Source organism: Homo sapiens, chromosome 6 (genome assembly GCF_000001405.40).
Source record: "Homo sapiens chromosome 6, GRCh38.p14 Primary Assembly".
In the NCBI taxonomy this organism is placed as follows: Eukaryota; Metazoa; Chordata; class Mammalia; order Primates; family Hominidae; genus Homo; species Homo sapiens.
Window position 1 is genome coordinate 138,083,604 of NC_000006.12, and position 23,816 is coordinate 138,107,419.

Genomic DNA, 23,816 nt, shown 5'->3' on the forward strand with positions numbered 1-23,816 from the left:
GGATAAATAGAAAGAGCTGGATAATATATCCAGCAGGAAGAGCTGGATAATATATCCAGCAGGAAGAGCTGGATAACATGTCCAGTAGGAACGAAGAGAACATACGTGGAAGTGGATCTTGAGGAAATTGGATTGGGGGATGGGTTGGTAAAATAAACCACCCCTCAAAATAACTAAATAAATAAACTACCCACTTACAGACAAGTTGATTACATCAGACCCTTCCATCCTGGAGGGGGCAGTAATTCATCCTATGGGGTTGATGTTTATTTCAATTTCCCCTCTGCCACCCCATAATATGCCACTTTGACATAAGGATTATTTTGAGCTAAAGGCACTTGAAAAAAAGCAGATGCAAGGACATGCTAACTTCTTCTTTTCTTCCCCAAAACAGGAGATTAAAAAAAAAAAAACTGCCATGTGAAAGATGTCCTTGTACCAGGAGAAAAGAAATATCCTTCAAGGGGGAGTCCTAACTGAGAGAATTCTGTACAAACAAATGTTATTAAAATAATACTTATATTTCTTTAGCCTCCCCACATAGTTTAGTTACTCCTCCACAATTGCCTCACTTTGTCCAACCTCGTACAAAAGCTTTTAGGCTTTGCCAGTTTATGGGTCTTCATTTCCTTATGGGGACTCCCATGACATGTAAAACATTCATTAAATCTGTATGCTTTTTCCCTGTTAATCTATCTTATGTCAATTTAATTCTCAGGCTCAGCCAGGGACTTTAAGAGAGTTGCTTCTCTTACATATGTAAGCCCCACTATATGAGGACTAATGGAGTCCTTGAGTTATTGACATGAGATCCTGTATTATGACAATGGGCACATGACCATGGGATCCACTGGCTTTTTCATATACTGCATCTCCCAGAAACTGTCAGACTGATAAAACATTAAAACAGCCTTTTACAGGCTCAACAGAGGTACCAGCTCACAGACAACACCCTTCAGAGCTGAAGATCTACCCCTTGTACCATCGCTTCCACTGTCTTATTTGAGGGAACTTATGACCACTCTAATAGAACATTTAGGCTCTGCAGAATTAGAGGTCTACATCCCCAAGAGTGGTAGAAATGCTTCTACCAGGAAACATAATAAAGATTCCACTGAACCTAAAGCTACTGCCACTTGTCATTTGAAATTCCTTATGAAGGCAGACCAACTGGTCAAAAATCAGAGTTAATATTCTGGTGGGTTAATTAATCTTGATTATCACAAGGGGATATAGTTGCTGTACAAAAGATTAATTAAAGCCTCAGCAACTGCTGTAGCTATGGGGACTGCAATTTGTTTCACCAACCCTCCTGCCATTTAACTGTACTTTAGAGACTATGGCCCGTGACTATAATACGTTGCAACATCAACATCAGAGCCTACTCAGTGTAAGCCAGAGCTGATCTATGCACATCCAGGAGTGGTGGACTGTGGCAGACAATGTTGATGTTCCATCCATGCGTCCTTGACCTATGTCTAATTTAACCTGCAACTACAGTAGAGTTCCCATGCATACTGACAACTTCCCACCCCAAGCAGCTGTCTTTTTGCTTCTTGGCCTGAGAGCTTTACCTGGCGTCATAGGCGCTATCTCATCCTGCACACAGGGCAACCCAGATGTGCTGGGAATTTAAACCCTTGTGAGCAAATTTAACAATGAAAAATAGCAGTCATGGCCGAGTGCAGTGGCTCATACCTGTAATCCCAATACTTTGAGAGGCCAAGGTGGGTGGATCACTTGAGGCTAGGAGTTCAAGACCAGCCTGGCCAACATGGTGGAACCCCATCTCTACTAAAAATACAAAAACTAGCCTGGTGTGGTGGCTTGCACCTGTCATCCCAGCTACTTGGGAGGCTGAGGCATGAGAATCGCTTGAACCCAGGAGGCAGAGGTTGCAGTGAGCCAAGATTGTGCCACTGCACTCCAGCCTGGGCAACAGAGGGAGATTCTGTCTCATAAAAAACAAACAAAAAACCCAGCAGCCGTTGGATAAAAATCCAGTCTCCCTGTCTTCAAGCAGAACTATTTTGAGGTACATTCTACAGAGCTCTTTAGAGGTACCCAGGAGCCCATGGCAGTGATCTGATTATAAACACACACATTTGATTCTTTTTTCTCTTAAACTGCCCTACTCTCCTCATCCCTTCATTTGTACGTCCGGGGATCACCTCCTGTATAAATCACCTACTCCCAAGTCCCTGTTCAGGAATCCAAATTAAAGCAATGTACTGTTAAAAAACAGGAAGGGTTCTGCTTGATGATTATAATTCATTTCAGCATATTAATGGTTCTGCAATTTGTACAGTAATAAGAAACAAAAAGCAAAAATAAAAACCCTTAAACCCTGTCTACCTCTGTATTTCCCAAATGTATTTGCGTAGTGGTTAAGAGGATGGACTTTGTATTTAAACCAACCTGGCTTCGAATTATAACTTCATTATTTACTTTGAAAGTCAGTAACCACTCCAAGGCTCAGTATCCCTAACTCTAAAATGGGGATCATAATATATCTACAAAAAAATACAGTAAAAAAAAAGTTGGGTGTGGTGGTGTGCACCTGTAGTCTCAGCTACTGGGGAGGCTGAGATGGGAAGACCACCTGAGCCTGGGAAGTCAAGGCTACAGTGAACCTGATCATGCCACTGTACTCCAGCCTGGGTGACAGAGTAAGATCTTTTCTCAAAAAAAAATAATAATAATAATAATAAATATATATATATATGGAACATGGATTTTTTTGAATTATTGGTATGCATTTCTCTAGGGAAAATCTAGATTATGATTCTAATGGTGGCTTTTTTTTTTTTTTAACAGAAATCTTAAAGACATTTGTAGAATTCCAAAGAAAAAAAGGGTTGCTATCAGTTAACTCCTGCAAATAAGAACCTAAGTTAAATCTCAGCTCAGCACTGAATATAAGCTCACAAAGCTTCTTTGAAGATAATTAGTTTGCCTGTTTTTGAAACTTCTTCATTCCATGCAAATGGTTTTTCAGGAGAATGTATCTGTGTTTTAGAATGCCGAAGTTGTTTATACCTTGTCTGCTAGTCCTAACCCATGCTGTGATGACTCACTCACCCCCAGGTTGAGAGGAAAGATTGGGCTGCTCTGTTACCAAAGTAAACACTAGGGCCTAAGTAGTGCCTTTTTCATTGATCACCTGCTAACGGACAGGCTATGCAAACACGCTCCCTTGGTGAGAACATGTAGAGCTGTCTTTTTTTCCAAATGCATCCCTTGGATTACAGAGCTACATATTCTGAAAATTCTTCTAATGTCTTCTTAGAACAAAAAAACTGTTGAGTGGAAGAACATGAACAACCAGGCATGTTTGATACATAAGCTCCTTAGTACCAAACAAGCTGAAACTGGGATGACTCAGACAATGGCGTAGAAGCAGGTTCTCTTCTTGACATGGCTTTCCTTTAACAGCTCAGCTTTGCTATAGTCCAAGGATAGCACCACTCTACCCAAGAGTGAAAGAGACAACTCACTCAGAGATTCCCAGCGAGCCCCTCTAGGGCAATTAGGCTAATAATTAGCCAGTTGCAACTAGAAGCTTATTGTTAGTCTTTGCAATCAGGAAGCATGAAGGTTGCATTCTGAACTGAGAAACTTCAACATAGTACTTTTTTTAAAAAAAATGTATCGTAGTTTCATTTAAGGCACTGTGTATTTGCAGCAGAAAAAGACAAACATCATTTGACTTAGCTTAGAATTTGTGATGTTTCTGAATGTTGAATTTACCCTTCAAAGTCATAAATTGGAGAATGCAGGGAAAGGTCTATTCACCCTTGTACTTAAATCCCTGACATTGATGGAAAAAGATGCCTCTGTGTTTCTGAGCCCAATAAAAGACAATTTTGGAGAGGTAAATGTGGGGATATATGGAGTGGGGGGAAGAGGAACAAGGCTTGACTGACTTCTTTAAACACCCCTGGCAGTAATTTTCATCCCTCCTGGGGTTTGTCTTTGGATTAGAGACTGTTCCACCGTGGTGTCTGGATGCCCTAATCTCATAGCCAGTTCTCCTGGGAGGATGGTGCAGCTGTGCCCTGTTGCACAAGGGCACCCAGCCCAGGGTGCTCTTGGTGGGAGGAGGCTGTGTCAGCCCAGAGGAAGGGTCACCTCTCCCTAAATTACAGTAGCTCCCTAAATCACTCCAGAGTGAGAGCCCCTAGGTGTCCTGCATGACTCATATACTGTTCTGAGACAAAGGCGGTTGTCTTTGTTTGGGATCTGCCAGGAATTCATGTAATCATGTTGATGTCTCCAGTCATGATGTGTCCCACTTCTTATCACCTACACATCTTCAGAAGAGGATATTATTCCAATGACAATTCTATCAACATGAAATCGATCATGCAGATGCCAGTGTCCTTTGTGTCCATTTCTCACAGTCTTCTACATCTGCGCTGAAATCAGTTTTTCTTTAGTGTTGTTATTGTTGTTTTTTCATTGGGAAAGGATTAAGCATTGAGGTGTTGCTTGACTTTGGAAATTGGGTGGGGTGGCATTTGGAAATGCAAATTTTCACTGAAGCATTTCAACTCGATAGAAAGGATAGAATAGGGAAACAGAGGGTATCCACATGGAACTTGCTTTCAAAGTCTCACTTGGCAATTTACTTTTATTGATGAAATTCAGAGTTTATGTTTCAAATCTAAGTATTTCCTCTTGAAAGTAACTTAATCAAAAGCAGTTGATAATAGCAGGTTAATTACCTTGAGTCTTTGCACTGGAAAAACTGGCTGGGTCACCCCATTACACAACCATCTATTATGATTATATGATGACTCATTATCACGAAGACAATCTTGTGCCATTTAAATCAGCAGGATTCCATTTCTTCACCAGAGAACTATCTCTAAATACACACACGCATGCTCACACACTTCTGAGTTTCCCTTTGTTTATTTTTGCAGCCAACAAAGTATGTTTTCGAGGTTAACAACGAAGCACAGGATAGTACAAGTGGAAGATCATTAACATGACTGGATAGGAACCTCTTTTAATTTCCCTTTCTTGGCTTTTTCCACACCCTAGGTGGATTACACTCACCCTGACACACCTAGAAAATACACCCAGATACCAGAATTGCAAAATTCAGGAAGAATGCACTGCACACTGTATCCAGGCAAGCCAAGCTCACCTAAAAATGGTCTCAAAAAGCAAAGGGCTCTGACCATCGACTGATGGGGTTGCAAGCCCAGCCTGTCTGCAGGAATTTTTAAATCTGAAACCACACTACAGAAATTATTTTATATATTACTTATTTTTAAAACTCAACTGTAAAAATAAGTGTTGCAGGAAGAGTGAGGAAGAGGGAATTTAAAAGAGGAAGTTGGGACTGAATCTATTCGTTCCAACCTCCCTAAGCAATCCACTTATTGATCAGTGCTTCCAACTCAAGGAATATTTAAAATTTTTTAATTAAAGAAAAAATTCTATCAATCAGAGAATCTTGAAGGTAGGGGGATCATTTACAATCATTTTACAGGTGAGGATATTGAGACCAGCAGGGAGATGACCTGCCCAAGCCTGCACAGATAGCAAGGACCAAAGTTGGGATGAGACTCAAATATGCCCTTTCAGATGTGCTTATAAAAACAAGTCAGTGTTCACATTTACTGTATTAATAGGAATGTCTTTCAGGGGGAGTTTACAGAAAAAAAAAATAAACCGAATTAAGTTATGATGACTATATTTTCCATTGTTTTCATTTCCTTAAAAAAGGAAAGGCTGTTGAACTTGTGAGTTCTGCAGTCTATGGTTTTGAAGCTAAGTTATTACACACAAGCTACCTTGTGTGAACATGGAAAGACCTTGATATATTACTTCTTTGTTACAATCAGCAGTAAGTGCCACTTAGCATGTCTGGCTACTTACAGAGTGAAATAATTGCTTAGGAACCTAGAACTGCTTATTTAAAGGGTGGGAACTCAATATTTAATTACTGAACCAAAAAGCACCTCAGCTTTACTGTGGGAAATCTCATGCAATGCACTGTTAGCCTTCAGGTGGTTTCTCAGCCCAATTCTTCATTACTCTCCAGAATCCTCTGGAACTTCCCTTCTGTTATGACATAAAGGTATCTGTCTTGGTGAATCTGGATCAACAAGGAATGGCAGATCTCTATACTAGAACAAGGCTGAAGGAAGCAGACCATTTCTGCAAAATAAGAGTTTATCTTTGTCATAAATACTTTAGGTTGACATGGTTCTATTATATCAGGCTCGTTGGTCCCAGGAGGTTGCATTTTTCCTAAATGTGCGCCGTTAAGGTATTGTGTGATTGAGGAGGGGAAGAAGGCTGGATGGGAAATCATGCAAAGACAAGTGCATGTGGTAGAGAAGCTTATAAACGGAGTCATTTTCATGTTTAACAGGAGACCACGTTTCTTAATCTCTAGATATCCAGTATCTTCTTGAATGAGCTGTGGTATCACTTTAAAAGATGGGATTTTTAACATTTTTAATGACCACTTCAAATTCTCCACCAGCCACGGCATAGTTGTGTGGGTTTTTCTTTTCAATTTTGGTATAATCACCCAGATTACATTTCTCTATGAGAAACATTCACCTCGCATTTTGAAAAGCATAGAAAAATTCACTGCCAAGGACTAGCTGGCCAACAGTAGCCCTAGGGAGATATATTTCCGTTCTCCCACCCAGCCTCTCTGCACCCATCCTCACAATGACATACACCATAGTGGAAGTAACATATGACTTATGGTGGGAAAAAAAATAACAAATGATAAAATGGGAAGGAGGGCAAGGGGAAAATAGAGAGACTGCTACCCCACCACCTGAATGGAAGGGGACCCCAGCACAAGGAGGAGGCTTCAGCTACACTGCACACATGTCCCCCGGGTGTCTGAACCTGCCAGAAATCTCTTAGTCCATTTTCCTCTGGTTGATAGCACTGCAGAGAAATTGTTTAATGTGTGTCTAGGGTATTGTTCATTGAGGAAAAGTTCAGGGAATAGACTATTAGAATTCATTAATCTCCACTCAAAAATTGGTTTTGGACACCTAAAATGAGCAAGGCCCTTAAAACTTCAAACAAAAAAACAAACAAAAACCACTTTTCATTATATCCCATGTTCTTATTACCCATTTTTTTTTTAATTCCTTTCCCCAGATTTGAAAAATGGAAAAACTACAAACTGGAAACAAGTTTAGAATACCTGGTTTATTGGGAAAACTTCATAATGAAAACTACAATTAGCTTTTTCCACAACTTACAAAATAATAATCTGATATTTAAAATGAATTGGTTTTCATTATGTAAGTCGAAATGGTAAAAAATCATAATGACCTATCCGATGCATCATATATATGCTATTCAGAGAAACTCAAATCCCCGAATTCTCCTGTGGCATGTTTTATATCAGACATTTAAAATCTGTTTACCAAGAAAGACCAGGATTTTAACTATATGTAGGTTTCTGCTTACAGTTGCAAACTATCAGAAGCCTGTCTATATGATAGAGCCCAGATAAACCTGAGATTTAGAAAAGCAAGTCATTTATTCTCCTGAGGCTGTTTTAGTGGCACTTTTGTGACAAGAATGACCCTCCTAATGCTTTACTACACAACTTAACCAGATCTATCAGTCATGATAAATTAGACCCAGTCCATCTTTCAATCCAGTCTACTCTGGTTCTGAACATATAAACACAAAACACTACAGATTTATTAATATAGCATTTTCCCACACCCTAACCCTATAAAGAACTTTAAAAGAGAAAATTTCATCTAAATATTTCACACTTAAAGGAAAGCCTTACCAACTATGGCAACAGGTTTGGACCATGAAATAGTACTTTCCTAGATGACATATCGAGTCAACATGAAGCCTTAGCTAAAATGAATGATTCAGGATATTAATGAGAAATTCTCACAAATGATATGCATTTAGGAAATGATTTTGCTTTCCTTAAATAGTTCGAAGGCTTGAAAATAAACTTTTTTTTTGCATTTCTTTTAGAATGTTTGGTCATTAACAACTTTTAACCTTATCTTCCTCTTCTCCTTAGCCCTTAACAGACCGAGTCCATTCTATTTGGAAATAACAAGAACTTGATCAGATTATTAAATCTTGGAAACCTCATTTTTACCTTATAAAGTGTTAAGTTTCACGTGCATATTCTCTTACAAATGTAGTATAAATGTTATGGATAGATATAAGGAAATATTGGCATAGTATAGGTAATTAGTGAAAAGACACAACTTCACAAAACATAATAAAAGATAAACATGAAACTATAACACTACTTAAAAAATATTTTCTCCCAAATTATTTTAGCATTTTTGACTAGTTTAATAATATGAACACTGCCAAAAAATGGGTTCAAAGTCGCCTGGAGAAACAGTTTCTTCTTCTGGAGTCCATCTCAGCAGCAGCGATTTTCTCCCACATTCATTCCCAAGTTAGGCAGATGTGTAGAAGTACCTGGGCTTGGCATTGCCCAGAAGGTCATCTTCGTAGTTGGGGAGGCAGCAGAAGAAGAAGGCACAGCCAATCAGGATAATCGTGGCTGCCCACCCAAAGCCGTAGGCCCAGTTATAGATGTAAGTGACAGCAGGGTTGGCATGAAGGGTGAAGGTCTGGGTGTACTTCACGGGGTAAATTACCAGGGAGATGATCTGGAACACAGCTAAAGGGAAGAAAAAAATCCCAGGGTATGAATGCATACATGCATGAAGGAATAAATACACATTAGCGACAGATTACCTCCTTCCACCAAGTTTCTGCCTTGAAATAAGTATAAAATCTACCTGGAGGCAGGAGGAATCTGGTTAGGCAGAGGCCAAAAAAGATTCTTGACTACTGTGTGTAAGAGATGCCTGGCACTGAGCAGCATCACACACATATGCCAAATATGTGAAAAACACACAAAAAAATCATTGGAGATCCATTCTATATTACATAAGCATTATATATACTAAAGCAAAAAAGTGCAAAACTGTGGCATACAATAGAAAGCAGGACAGTAAAGAACAACCTATTTTTTTCATCTTTGTGTTTCCTATACCAAACACATATTCAATATGTTCAGTGTTAGCAAAAATTACATATATATATGTATATATACACACAGGCATGCACACATGACTCAATATTGATATTCAATAACACATCACTGGAATATTCATTCAATAAGTAAATGACTAAATGAAACAATGAACTAATATTGAGAATGATCAAGGGGAGAATCCGCAGAGAAGCCTGCAGAGGACGCGGAAATCTGAAGAGGAAACAGACGTGGAGGGAGGGCAGGGGGAAGGGCATGGGGAAGTGTGGTGGGGACAGAAAAAACAAAAGCAGCAAATGATCACAGTGCTTAGGGAGGTGTGAGTTAAGATGTGGAAAGAAACACATGAAGATTTCTAAACTCTCTGGCATAATAGTCACATTATTACAATTATTAATCTTTGTAATAGTATTTAAGCAATTTCAAACAAAATGAACATTATTGAGTCTACTTTCGTGGTCTTTTTCAATGGACATGCATGATTTTATAAAGCTACAATGAGTATATACATGTGTGTTCTGCATCATTTTAACTTTATATGTACATTGCCATGTCAAAGGGTCTGATTTTAGCTCTTTCACCATAAGACACTACTCTCCACAAGGAGGGACCAAGTAGCTGTGCCCTCCAGGAAGGTATCAGGGAATCTGTAGTCCTCACCACCATTTTTTCTACCATCTTAATTCTTGTCTACAGCTCCACAGATGTACCTTGAAGTAGTTTTCTTTTTCTTCTTCATTTTTTTTTTTCACTGCTAGAAAGGCTATAGATGTTTCTGTGTCTTCATTTGTTGCTTCTAATTCTTAACTAAACATTCCTCTTCTCTTGCAATTTACAAAGGACAATCTTAGGGCAAATCTTAAACATTTATCTACTTCTGGTATACTTTAAATAGCAATCTCTTACTATTTAAGTTTGTCATTTGCTACCACATACTGTGTAAGATACAAAAGCAATGCTTTTCTATGTTGACTTCTAATTTTCTTAGTAATAAATATTAAATATTGCTATTTATCGATTCTGGCTCATCATATATGAAGTCCTTATAACAGTTTGGATTAATTTCTGCCAAATTTAAATTGTATCAGTGTTCAATTTTTCTGATGTTTAATGTAAGAATATATATAAAATTTAAAATAACAGTTTCTATGAAACATACCTTAAAAGTCAAATAGGCCTTATTCAGCATTACTACTAAAAGTGTGTTGAGATTTCTAGGCTTTTTATTCTTCTAAATACATTTTCTGTTCTATTTTTCATACTCTTTAAAGGAAAGGATGAGTATTAAATTACAAAATGAAAACACTAGGTTAAGCCGACTGTTAAGCTGTAAATCTGTTGAAGCTCACTGAACTAATTTTCTTTACAACAATAACTCTGCTACCCCGTCACTGTGGATGGCCATTGCTAGATCTTTTTGTTTTAATGCTACAAGAAAGCAATGGATAAAAGAGTTTTACTAGGATATTTTTTATTCTGGTAAAATATATATAACATTTATCATTTTCACTTTCAATTGTTCACTCTAAGTGTACAATTCAGTGGTATTAAATGAATTCACAATGTTGTATAACCATTACCACTATCTATACCCAAAACTTTTTCATCTGTACATAAACTCAGTATCTCTTAAAAAATAACTCCCCATTCTTCCCTCCCCCCAGCCCCTGGTAACTTTTATTCTACTCCCTGTCTCTGTAAATTTGCCTATTCCAGGTAGCTCATGTAAATGGAATAATATATTTGTCCTTCTGTGCCTGGCTTATTTCACTTAGCATAATGTTTTCAAGGTCCATCATGTTGTAGCATATATCAAAATTTCATTCCTTTTTATGGCTGAATAATATTCCACTGTATGTATATACGCATTTTGTTTGTCCATGCATCTGTTGATGGACACTTTGGTTGTTTCCACCTTTTGGCTGTTGTGAATAGTGTTGCTATGAACATGGGTTACAAGTATCTTCAAGTTCTTGTTTTTAATTCTTTTGGATATACACTTAGGAGTGGAATGCTGGGTCATATAGTATTTACTAGGATTTTTCAACTAACATTAATGTCTCAGTGTGTTATTTATTATTTATTTATTTATTGAGATGGAGTCTTGCTCTGTCACCCAGGCTGGAGTACAGCAATGCATCTTGGCTCACTGCAACCTCCACCTCCCAGGTTCAAGTGATTCTCCTGCCTCAGCCTCCCATGTAGCTGGGATTATAGGTGTGCACCATCAAGCCCAGCTAATTTTTGTATTTTTAGTAGAGATGGGGTTTCACCATGTTGGCCAGGCTGGTCTCGAACTCCTGACCTCAAGTGATCTGCCTGCCTCAGCTTCCCAAAGTGCTAGGATTATAGGCATGAGCCACCACACCTGGCCTTAGTGTGTTATTTCTAATGGTGATTTAAACTGGCATCTATGGAGTTTTCTACGACACATGAAAGGAAGACACATCAAATGTGTTTCTTTGCTAGAGTCTCATAAATGTGAACTACAAAAATAATCAAGTAGAAATGAAAGTGGGCATCAACCAGGTTCTTTATATCTTTTGTGATTCCAAGTCACTTCTGATTTTAAAATATTATTCAAAAAGCAAACTTTGAAAATATGAGGATCAGAAACTTTATTTTTAATCAACAGAAACTGTCAAATGTGCCGTGAAGAAGGCCAGGACTGTGCATGTACCAGCTGGTTCTTTGAGGCACTCCTCCTGCCTCGCCTGTGTTGCCCACAGCTCTGCGAACTTAACTCTTCTAAGCTCAGGGAACCGGCGCAAAGTGGCCTTCCTCCTGGCTCATGCATGATCATATAGACCCCTTAGAGTCATAAGGCTTCTGACCTGTTTCCAAGACCATCTGCTCACTTTGTATTTGTACCTCGGGTCTGTAGCTTGAATTTCTGCTTTGGTCCCATAAGCCTAAACTGGTAAGAAATGACCTGAGGCCTCGCTTTGCCGCTGTCAGCACCTTCTCTTTTTTCCCTGCTCAGAAAGTCCAGTTTTACTTCTGAATCTAACTCCGTGGCTAGGGTCCTGCCCCTTTGACAGATTTCCTTAGTGCCACAGACCTGACTAAAATTTCCAATAATTCTTCTCCTAAAATCCTAGTTCTTGTATTCCATCAATAAATATTCACACTGGGCCCTGCACACCTGAATAACTAAATTTCTTCACATCACCTGTGTCTGGACCACTATTCCCCCCACACAGGCACCATGCTGCAGATTCCAGTTCTGGCCCCTCCCAGGGTCTTCCATCCCACGGCAGAACACCATTTCAGGACCCACATCATAAGATCACAAGCCTCTTTCAACAAGGGAAATAGTTCAGGGGCATTCAGGTCCCCTCAGCAGGGGGCTCACAGCAGGCCAGGGCTGGGGACCACAACGGAGAGCACTGCTTTTCCAGGGCTGACATAGCCTAGTTTCTCGGGTAGAGGAGTCAGTGGATAGGGCCCCCTAAGAGAGATAGGGGCATGTAGAGTGACAATCCCTGTCACTCGGATGGGGACTACAGAACACTGCGTGAGCCACAAGAGGAAAGGGAACCAGATCTTAAAACACATCTCTCCTCTGTTACTTCTGCCCTGGTGATACATTTTCCGAGAACAGATTAGAAACTGTAACAGTCACGGGTCTTCTTTGTGGAATTGACCATTACTAAGTCGATGCCCACTGAAGGCATAAATGAAGAATTGCTGACACACAGTCTTACCAGCCAAGGCAAGGAGACCTCCAATCACTCTCAGGAAGACAAGCATCTGGGGTCCACAGAGGGCGAAGAAGGAGAGGATGAAACAGATCACCAGGATGATGAAGCCACAGAAGAGCATGGCAGCCGCTGCTCTACCCCACGCTGCAAGAAAAAAAGAAACAGCAATTAACAAGACAGACATACCAAGTTTAAAAATTACTTATCACAGTATCAACATGGTTTTGGGCTTTTTTTCCCTACTAGTTACATTTGGATGGAGGGACAGTTTTTCTTTTGACAATACTTGAGCATCTCCATATTTTAAGGGAAGAACAGGCAATTCATATGTAGGACATTAATATACTGAGACTCAGAAATGCCTTTTCCCCCTCAGTTTTTGGCAAAAGTTTACATCTCTGAAATGAAAGTCAAACTTCATTAATCTGTTTCTCGTGTGATAAGTTTGCCACATAACGGGTATATTTATAAGGTTCACCCAAGTTCTGACACAACGTGATCATAATAAACAACATTTTTGGTACTGAGCAATCCAGATTATAAACTCTAGGAAATGTTTTTAAATACCTTTAAGGGATCTTTGTTTCATATTAATGTTTGGTTCTATGCAAAAATAATCATTGAAAAAATATATTTATGACTAGGCAGAGGTGTTAAATAAAACAATTTAAGTGTGGAGAAGTAGCTCTGATCTTATAACAAGCTTATAACTAGCTTATAACAAGATCTTATAACAAGCTTGGGAGCAAACCACTTTCCTAAATTTCTGCCTAAATTTTAATTTCTTAAGTATTCAAAATGTATTGCACAAGAGATTTTAATTATTTACCTTTGCCCTAAAAAAGAATCAGGATTTGATGGCAATCAACTTCTAGGTTTGAAGACCTACATGGGTACCTCCAGCCCTGGGTCATTCTATTCTACACTGAGGAAATACAGAGATCCATGCTATCCACACGAATGATTCCAGTCAACAACACCTATTGTTCAACCTGCCCTCATTGCTAAAACCCCTTCACACACAACCTTTCCTCTAGTGGTAACACCTAATAACATTCAGGACATGCATGAGCTCACTGAATCCTCACAACAACTTTTTTTTCCCAGGTTATTTTTTATTTTTATATATATTTTTTAATTTCAGTAGTTTTTGGGGTACAAGTGGTTTTTGGTTACATGGCTGAATTGTATGATGGTGAAGACTTTAGTGCACCCATTACCTGAGTAGTGTAAATCTCCTAATAACTTCTTAAGGTACACACTGCTATTGTTTCTATTTTAGAAATGAAGGATATACTTAGAGTTCAAATAACCTGCCCATAGCCACACAGCTGGTAAATGGTTTAGACAGAGTTTGATTTCAGCCTGTTTGAATCCAAAACATGACTTTTTTAAAGATATAATTTACACACTATAAAGTTCGCCCTTTTAAAGTGTATAATTCAGTGGTTTTTACTATATTCACAGTGTTGTACAACCATCTCCACTAACAATCCAGAATATTTTTATCGCCCCGCAAAGAAACCCCGTGCCCATTAGCAGTCACCCTCCATCCCCTCTTCCTCCAGCTTCTGGCAACCACAAATCTACTTTCTGTCTCTATACCTTTGCCGATTTTGGACTTTTCATATAAATGGAATATCATACACTATGTGGCCTTTTGTGACTGGCTTCTTTCACTGAGTATGGTATGATGCGGTTTGTCATGTTATAGCATCAATCAATACTTCATTCTTTTTGTGGCTGATTAATATTCTATGGTATGGATAGACTTTAGTCTATCCGTTCATTTGCTCTTGGAAGATCGTGCACACTTAACCTATTAGTCTTCACTACATTTGAAAAGGAGAGTCATGAGTCACCTGTCCTCCATCTTGGCGTTACTCTTACTCTGTGACGCAGCACAGCTGACAGTATTTGTCCTCACTTAATTCTAGGTTGTTTGACTGGTCAAGGTGAAACAAAGATGGGGCTGGCAGAAAGAGCAAGGGTGTTGGAGCTGCTGGACCTCGTTTGGACCCTGCCTCTGCCCCTGTTGGCCATACTCCAGTCTTTGCATCTGTTAGCCAAGGCTAAAAACACCTATTCCAAGATGATGGAAGCACACTCCTGTAGTATCAGTGACTAACTCCCCAGCCCTCACTACTCAAAATGTTCCTCCTGTGTCCCTGTGACTTTTCTCTAGTACCTCATGTTTTTATTTTCTTCTACATTCGCAAGGTTCTGCACCATCCCTTAAAGATTGTTTCTCAATCATCTGATGCATTTTTCTCTTTTCATCTGTTAGAGACAAACCTGAGCTAAGGCTCCACATGCCCTTCTCCAACTCCCATGCACCTTCCAGGTCTTCCTCTAGATTCATGAGTGACTGGGGCACAATAGATTATTAAGGAGATAAAACATTTTTCTGTCCTAGAAACACTGTTTTCACACAAATTAGGTCAGGATGGGGCTGAGACTGTACCTGATTTGGCCTAGTTTTATACGGACAATTTTTATTACTTTCCTCCAAATCTTCTAGCTCTTCCTGTCAGACCACTGAGAGACTTGAGAGATAAGGTTAAAATGGGAATGTTTTATTTTAAAATAGAAAGGAATAAAGCCAAAATGTTAAAACTTAGTAAGTCTCTTTTTCTCACTTTTGCCTTGTTCTTCAAGTAAGATAACTTTTAAGAGAAGAGGGACCATGCTTTGGAAAGAACATTAATTAATCAGACCTCTCAAAGTACAGCCCATAGACCACAAAGGCAAAATAAGCAGTAGTGCTCCTTAAAATGATACTGATTCCTGTGCCTCCCTCCAGACCTATGGAATCAGAGCTTGAGTGGTAGCACCCAAGAATCTGCATGTTATTAGTGTTTCTTATATCCATAAAGTTTGAGAACAACTTAGATGATTAAAGTCCTTATTAAAACAGATGCAGCACTACCAAAAAGGATCATATAACTTTAAGTATGTGACCCATTGTCAATTACAGTCTCATTTCTTTAGTTTTTTTTAAATGGCCACTGGTAATTGTTAAGTTCAATTAAGTCCAATAGTTAAATCAAATAAGCAAAAACTTTTTTTTAATTTTATGAGTTCAGAAGTTTGAAACTGCAATGAAAGGAAACATATCTATATATGCATGTAAAAGAACGCAAACATAATAAAAATCATTGCATAGGAGAATGTGAGTTTTCCATAAAAACAGGCAAAACCTCCTAACAAGGAATCTATTTCAATAACTAAACTTTTACAATCACAGATAAAGGTTTGAAAAATCTAGCCAAATAAATTATGTATGATATTTCTGTAAAGAGTAATATTAACAATTTTACCTATTTGAGGAAAATTAACATAAAAAGATTATTACTATTATACTTCCTCTAACATTATAGCTGAAGTATAATTTATGCTTAGTTTCAAGTGCTTGGAAGGAATTAAACCAAAGAAATGGTAAGCCAATTCACCTAACCTAAAGCCAAGACGTGAACATAAATATAGGAATATTTTAAGAACTTTTCCCATGCTATCTTAACACGACTCAGTTCATGTCTTGCTTATTTAAAGTGCTGAGTCTAAAGAAAATCAAAATGGAAAATTAAACCACATTTTGTCTTGAGAAAGACTGCCTTGGAAATAGAACGTGTAAAACCTGCTCCTTGCATCACAGAAACACCCACATTGAATCACTTAACTATCATTTAAGACAGAAAACTTGGCACAGTTCTAAAGATCCTGACTGATGAATAACAGACGTCTTCAAGTAAAGCAATCTGCCTTCTCATGTCAGTGACCATTTAGACCATACCAGGTCTGAGCAGGGTCCTCCCAGCCCACCGTTCTGTCTGAGAAGGAGCCTTTCAGATGTAGAGACTTAGGACATGGGTATTCTCGATGACCTACATTTTGAAAAGTTAATAACTTTATGCCCTAGGTAGCTGTGGTCTCACTTAGTTACCTAGAATGAGCCTACTTTCTACAAATTGACCAAACCCTTTAGGAGCTGTTTATATTTTTATATTATATCATGGTCTAAATTCTACCCTATTTCCCGACCCCACTGGAAAACATCAATTTTTAGAACTTGTCCTAAAGCTACATCTTTCATGATTCAATAGATGGTCCTCAGTTTTTCAAAGGCAGACTGTCCATCTTTATCTAATACGAACACAAGTTTGTCTTTCATTACTATTTTATATACCAGATTTGTGTGTGTGTGTGTGTGTGTGTGTGTGTGTGTAAGTGTATGGGAGAGAGTAGAAAGGATTCTTATTGTCAACTCTCATTCTCTGGATTGAGACCACAAAAGCATTCAGTACTCCAGGTAAATAGATGCTGCGTTTCTGTGTAGGAAAGTTTTTGTTTGTTTGTTTTATTTTCTTAAGGGAAGACCAATTTGGTGTCCTAACTTTATTTTCTAAGTACCATTTAGAAAAGCTCATGTAATCAAAGAAACCAGCAGCATTATAAATCCAATTTAAGTGATATTCATTAGATGAACAACAGCTTCTCAAAGTTTCCTAGCCCTCGCAAAGATTCAACATTAAATCAAGAACACGGAAACCATTTAACGATCACCAACAAAACTGAGTTTTTCCTAGGACGTGTTTTTAAGGTTTCTGTATGACAAAGCATGCTGTATTTTTTTCCAGAAATTACATACAAAAACGCAAAATGTTACAAGGCTAGTAAGATCAACTAATAAGAGCAAAAAAGTAAAAATAAATAAATACTTTAAATGTCAAGCTAGAAATAGGCCAGCCGCGGTGGCTCAAGCCTGTAAGCCCAGCACTTTAGGAGGCCGAGAAAGGTCACGTGAGGTCGGGAGTTCGAGACCAGCCTGGCCAACATGGTGAAATCCCCATCTCTACTAAAAATACAAAAATTAACTGCGTGTGGTGGCACACGCCTGTAGTCCCAGCTATTCAGGAGGCTGAGGCATGAGAATCGCTTGCACCTGGGAGGCAGAGGTTGCAGTGAGCCAAGATTGCGCCACTGCACTCTAGCCTGAGCAACAGAGGGAGACTCTGTCTCAAAAAAAAGTCAAGCTAGAAATGATAAACTGAAGCTTGAGAAAATAAAATAAACTTTTATTTTAAGACAAGAAGAACATCATTAATATTTTTTAAATTGTTGGTGATACTTTGGAGACGATCACTAAGTTTCCCCCCAAAGGTAGTCCTCCTCTTCATGAATCTGCTGCATTCTTTGGTAGTTTTAAACGACGCCCTTATGACACTAATGTGGCACCCAACCAGAGTCCAGTCCCTTTCCAGAATACAGGATTCATCTGTCAATAATACCAAAGATTCTGTATCATCCAAGATTTTGTCAGATTCTTCATATTGTTTCTATAAGGCTCTTTAAGCCAAACACAGGCAGAACTGAAAACTGGATAAAACCACAGTTCAAAAAATTAAAAAGATCCTGCCTACAACTAAATGTAAGCATAGGAGAATGATATATTCAAAAATATAGTTTTGCATAGTCAATGAGGAGGTAATCTGCAGTGATTTGGCCAGTGCTTCTGAAACTTAAAAGTGCTTACCTCCTCCGGGAAGTAGTTAAAATGCCGATTCCGATCCTTAGGCCAGCATGAGACACTGGACGTCCAACAACCACCCAGATAATTCTGCTGTCCTGGTTTGCGACACTTAGAGCAGCAAAAATCTAGAGGACAACTCATAGCAGTCCCCCCCAAAAAATACATAAAAAGACACCATTCTGCAGAAGTTCAGGAAGGCAGTTAAATGGCTCAACAGAGAGATGGCAGGGAGAATACACGGGAGAGCATTCCACAGATGGTGTGAGATTCTTTACATGCTCTGCATGGTCTCATGAAACTGACTACTCCATTGCTCTCTGTTACTTTAACCCTTAATAACCTTCTTTTAGACGATTTATCTAATCAACGAGGGGAGAAGCCATTCTATACAGGACAGGGTGAAAACAGGAAAAGTCAATCTAAAGACAACTAGCAGTGAATTTGGGGTCTACCCTCAAATATTTGAACATGTGTCAATGAAAGAAAGCTGGAAAGTAGGAATTACACAGCTCTGTCAGTTTAAGAGAAGGACTTGGAAACAAACTATCATCCAGGCAACAGAACTAAGTTGTTGAATAAGGGACGAAGCTTAGTCAGGGGTGCTATGGATGGGTGCAGGCTTTGGTGAAAGCTTGAATCTGGTGTACTTTAATTCCCTTCTAATTATAACATCCCAGTAGTCTGCGTCCCTTTACAGGACAAACACGAGTTAGGGGACACTGAGAAAGGAACCGAGGCTCTCTGGGGTGGCTACTGCTGAGTGAGGCACATGTGGAATGAATGGCCTGGACTAGATTACTGGGTCTTAAACGTTCTAGATGTTATAAATCATACGTACTTTTAAAAATTATTAAATCAATAGAGTGGCCAACTTTTTATTTTTTGCTGTGTAAGAACTTGAATGCATACATGCTCGTGCAAAGAGTAATCTGTCTGCGGCCAGGCGCGGTGGCTCACGCCTGTAATCTCAGCACTTTGGGAGGCCGAGGTGGGCGGATCACGAGGTCAGGAGATCCAGACCATCCTGGTTAACATGGTGAAACCCCGTCTCTACTAAAAATACAAAAAATTAGCCGGGCGTGGTGGCGGGCGCCTGTAGTCCGAGCTACTCGGGAGGCTCAGGCAGGAGAATGGTGTGAACCCGGGAGGCGGAGCTTGCAGTGAGCAGAGATTGTGCCACTGCACTCCAGCCTGCGCGACAGACCGAGACTCCGTCTCAAAAAAAAAAGAGTAATCTGTCTGCTAATGCCTAATTTCATAAATTAGGTACAGTTTTGTATTTTTTTGGAGACTGAGTCTCGCTCTGTCACCCAGGCTGGAGTGTAGTGGCCCAATCTTGGCTCACTGCAACCTCCGCCTCCCGGGTTCAAGCAATTCTCCTACCTCAGCCTCCTGAGTAGCTGAGATTACAGGTGCCTGTCACCATGCCGGGCTAATTTTTTTGTATTTTTAGTAGAGACGGGGTTTTACCATGTTGGCCAGGCTGGTTTCAAACTCCTGACCTCAAGTGATCTGCCCGCCTCGGCCTCCCTAAGTGCTAGGATTATAGGCGTGAGCCACCACACCCGGCCAGGAACAGTTTAATACCTTTCCCTACCCCACTCCCCACTGAAAAAACCACAAGGGCATAATCTCAAAATGAAGTCCTTTCAATCAGTGGTCCCCAACATTTTTGGCACCAGGGACCAGTTTCAAGGAAGAAAATTTTCCTTGGTTTTGGGATGATTCAAGTGCATTACCTTTATTACACACTTTATTTCTAGTATTATTACACTGTATAATATATAATGAAATAATTACACAACTCACCATAATGTAGAATCAGTGGGAGTAACAGTCTGTGGCCTCAGGGTTGGGGATCCCTGCTTTAAGAGGAATTTAGACTAATGTGAACTATTAACTTGTACTTACTTTTCTTATTTCTTGTACATTGGAGAGCCACAGGGCTAACTGACCTAAAACTATTTCATGTAATACTGATTCTTTGACTTGGCCAACAGCGATTTCATGTTAAAAACAAACAAAATATTGATGCATTTACAGTATGCAAAGGGTGTCTTTGGTTAAAAAACAACAAAAAACCGGAGGCTTTGTACTTCCCAGTTTGGATTCAAGGCAAATGCTCGTCAATCCTCACTGACTCCCTGTTTCACTCTGGTGCACAAACTTATCACCATTATTCTCCCCTTGAACAAGCTGGAGCTTGCCTGTGATTTGAAATCTACACAGCTGCGGCTGAAAATATCCTCCTGATGTATTCTTTCTTAAAAACTAGAAAAGATGGTGCCAGCGGTGCAAAACTAGTATGAGTGAACATGCATTTAAATTTCACATTTTATTTATAGGTGAAATTTGAATGATTTCAATCATTAATCTATAGATTTTCTTTTCCTGTTTTGACAAATATAAACCATGATTTTTAAAAAATTCAAATAAGAATGTTTTTAGCTGGGTGTTAATTTAGCTGGTCAAAGAAAATATTCAGCGAATAATTTGGCTCCTTCACAAGGAAAAATGAGGTGATTTGGTCATCTGAAATTCTTAAACTGTCAGTAACAGTGAAAAATATAATATTCTGCTTTTTATATAGTTCTAAGGAATTATTTATCTTTATAAAAACATCCATATTCATTCGGATTATTGTCAATACTTGCCAGGAATAACCTGTGTCTTTACTACCAAAATGAACATATTGTTATGATTATCAACTAATAAGAGAGGTGTTGAAACACTTTGTAATAACAAGATTTTCTTAATAGTTACAACGGTAAATCAAAATATTTATTGCCTAGTACATATCAAGAAGTTTTTCAAAGTGGATGTACACACTCAATTCTCTATACGGAGATCTCATTTTAATCAGAGCCATCAACCTTATTCCTTGTTGCACAAGATACTGTGTGTTTGTGCATACGTGGGAGTGTGTGTAAACTGCTTACTTCATTTTAGATAAAGTACAAGCTCATGTAAATATATGGTTTTCAGTAAGGCCTTACTAAGGCTATCTGAAAATCCAGAGTTCATAGATGCCTAGATAATCGCCTTACAGTGTCGTTATACACAGCTTCTACAATTGTGAGGCAAAACTAGACAATGTGCATGCAGGCGATGAGACAGACGTATAATAAGCACTTAAACTCATCTTTGGCTACAACGGCCAGAGGTAGCTCCATATCTGCTGTCTTCTTCCCACAGCCACTTCATGACAGCGGATCCCAGATTCATGATTTGATTCCAGATCTTGAGCAAGAGCCGTGTGTAATGCATTACTGGCACTTAATTAACTTTGCAAAGGTAGCAGGAATAACTAAACTGAGTTGTTAAAGCTATTACCATTTACGAAAATCAGTCATGCTGCATCATAAACAGATTTTTCGAGATCCACTTAGAAAATCGAGCTTTTCCAAGGACCAATTTCTATGTCAAACTGAATTATAAACTATACACTGGTTAGTGTTTTCTTTACAATGAAAAAAATTAACATTTAGACTTCTAATTAAAAATTCAACCAAACTAAGAAAAAAAACCTGCTTATTGCCTTCCATATACAAAGCACTGTATCAGTCTAAGGTGGAACACCACACCCTAAAAAGGTGAGCTCATCCTGCAAGTCAAGAAAAATAAAAATGGCATTGTGCATGTTTCACAAGAGGGCTGTGGTCACAGCCAGAGCCCTGCAGGTCAAATCATGTCCCGTCAGTAGCACTGATCATAGTTCTGCCAATATCCCCGCCACCAGTCAAAGGCACGCTAGTCTTACTTTATATGTGGAGGATTACTGCATATACTTTGGGTCTGCATTAGTCTTTGGAGTAGGGTATAATTATCAAAGTATGTTTAAAAACACACACGCAGATCTGTTAGGTCCCCTAGAAGAGACTGAGTTCAGATGCATTTTAACTAGAAGATAGAGGTACATTATTTCAAAAAACAATTAATTCGCTTTAAAAACCTAAAACACTGGAGATGATACAAACCTGAGCTGGCACAGTGTATGGGTTTTCAGAGAAGAAAACACACAAACTGCAAAGAAAGCTGGAATTTTCTGCAGTGTTTACATTTTATTACCTGGCTAATGGGGACCATGCTTCCTTTTGTGGGGAAGTGACGTCCAAAGGATTACACAAAAGAAAGGGCACCAAGTTGCTGATATAGTCCCCCGGAAACACAAATAAACAGGATTGGGTTGGAAGCCCTGGGCCACTTCAAAGAAAAAAATCAAGTCAATGGTAATAGTAAGAAATGAAAACAGGCAGGGTAGCTTGCTGTCTGTGTTTAAAACTATTAAACCCGGTAGGTAAAGCCCATTTGGCTTTAAGGTTTTATTAGGCTCTCACAGACCCCATCTCCACCCCCACACACATTGCTAATCACAGTAGACCCCAGCTGTGATTCCCATCCACCCCCAGGAAAGGAGAGGGGGCTTCCCACTGTGAAAGAAAATGCCTTCTCAGACAAGAACTATGCTCCAGTCCTGACTTTCAGCAAGGCAAGCAGGGAGCTTCCTCCATGCTGGGAAAATGGCATACAGTACTTCACCTGCTAGGTACATTAAATTTGTCAACTCTGCTTCACGTCGCGAGTGTAGGGAATGTGTTTGCTTTTTAGATTTCAAATCGGATTAAAATAATTAAGTTTTCTAAACAACAATGCCATGCTTAAACCAAAGGACACGCCCTAGAACAAGAGCTAACAAGAACTAGCCTGACCGGTAAAGTAGACTGAAATATCTATTGAAAACGTTAACTGCTAAAACTGCCTGAAAGGGCTTTTTTAAATGAGAAAGTTTTTTCAGCTATATCAAGTTGAACGAATCCACTGATATTAGGGAAGGCACGTTATTTCAATATTTATATTTTAATCATAAGAAGAAACGAGAAGGAAGAGAAATGGGAAGAAATTTCAGGTCTCCAAGAAACTTTGTTCATTATATTTACTCATCTAAACTTGCAATGCTTGAAATAATCTTTCGTACGTAACCGACAAAACCCAGGAAAAAAACTATACAGTTTGAACTACGGCCTTTTTTTTTTTTCTGTTTCTGAGCTTGGTGTTGGCCACCCAAAGCTACTGCTGCTGCATTTGGTTCAGGTCGGATGCATGAGCCCGAGCTCGTCCTAAACAGGCATTCTGAAAAGCACTGGCTCCCCCGACCCTGTGAGGGCCCATCACGCGCGGCGGCTTTTGCAGGCCGCGGCCCCGAGGGCTTCCTGGAGGCGGCGACGGCGGCGGCGGCGGGCACTCACCGTACTCCATGAGGCTCTGACAGCCCTCCTCGTAGGACCCGCTGCCGCCGCCCTCTTGGGAGCATTTCCACCACAGCGAGGACGTCTGGCCGTGGTCGCTAGACTGCAACCAGCCGCGGCCGGCCAGCGCGATGATGTCGAAGGCGATGGCGCTGAGTAGGAGCAGGGGCAGGATCCAGCGGCAGCGCTCGCAGGCCAGGCCGCAGCGGATCATGTTGACGGGCGGCGCGGGGCCGAGCGGAGCGGAGCGGAGCGGGTCGGAGGAGCGCGCGGGACGGGCGACAGCAGAGAGT

General features: G+C 39.6%; 1 protein-coding gene across 1 annotated transcript, besides 3 other annotated features; it reads right to left on the minus strand.

Annotated features, from left to right (window-relative positions):
- Nucleotides 1,465-1,634: an enhancer, noted in NCBI's record as "experimental_90506 CRE fragment used in MPRA reporter constructs". NCBI's record gives its function as "activates a minimal promoter by MPRAs in K562 erythroleukemia cells, with activity observed for the non-introgressed 6:138406290 or rs636249 variant allele {active_cell/tissue: K562}" and the evidence as "EXISTENCE:reporter gene assay evidence [ECO:0000049][PMID:34662402]".
- Nucleotide 1,550: a transcriptional cis regulatory region, noted in NCBI's record as "Neanderthal adaptively introgressed variant 6:138406290 (GRCh37/hg19 assembly coordinates) or rs636249 in the experimental_90506 CRE". NCBI's record gives its function as "modulates activity of the experimental_90506 enhancer by MPRAs in K562 erythroleukemia cells {active_cell/tissue: K562}" and the evidence as "EXISTENCE:reporter gene assay evidence [ECO:0000049][PMID:34662402]".
- Nucleotides 3,479-4,678: an enhancer, noted in NCBI's record as "BRD4-independent group 4 enhancer chr6:138408219-138409418 (GRCh37/hg19 assembly coordinates)". NCBI's record gives its function as "activates an origin of replication core promoter dependent on BRD2, P300/CBP, MED14 and CDK7 cofactors, and independent of BRD4, by STARR-seq in HCT116 cells {active_cell/tissue: HCT116}" and the evidence as "EXISTENCE:reporter gene assay evidence [ECO:0000049][PMID:35650434]".
- PERP (p53 apoptosis effector related to PMP22) lies at nt 4,902-23,816 on the minus strand. Its single transcript, NM_022121.5, has 3 exons — nt 23,524-23,816; nt 12,751-12,891; nt 4,902-8,665 (listed from the first exon to the last, which is right to left on the minus strand). Exons 1-3 carry the CDS (start codon nt 23,735-23,737, stop codon nt 8,439-8,441), a joined length of 582 nt encoding a protein of 193 aa, NP_071404.2. The 5' UTR covers nt 23,738-23,816; the 3' UTR covers nt 4,902-8,438.

Coding starts and splice junctions, on each gene's coding strand:
- PERP (NM_022121.5), bottom strand. CDS start 23,737: ATGATCCGCTGCGGCCTGGCCTGCGAGCGCTGCCGCTGGATCCTGCCC. Junction 12,892..23,523: donor TCAGAGCCTCATGGAGTACG/GTGAGTGCCCGC, acceptor TTTTTCTTGCAG/CGTGGGGTAGAGCAGCGGCT. Junction 8,666..12,750: donor AGGTCTCCTTGCCTTGGCTG/GTAAGACTGTGT, acceptor TCTTCCCTTTAG/CTGTGTTCCAGATCATCTCC.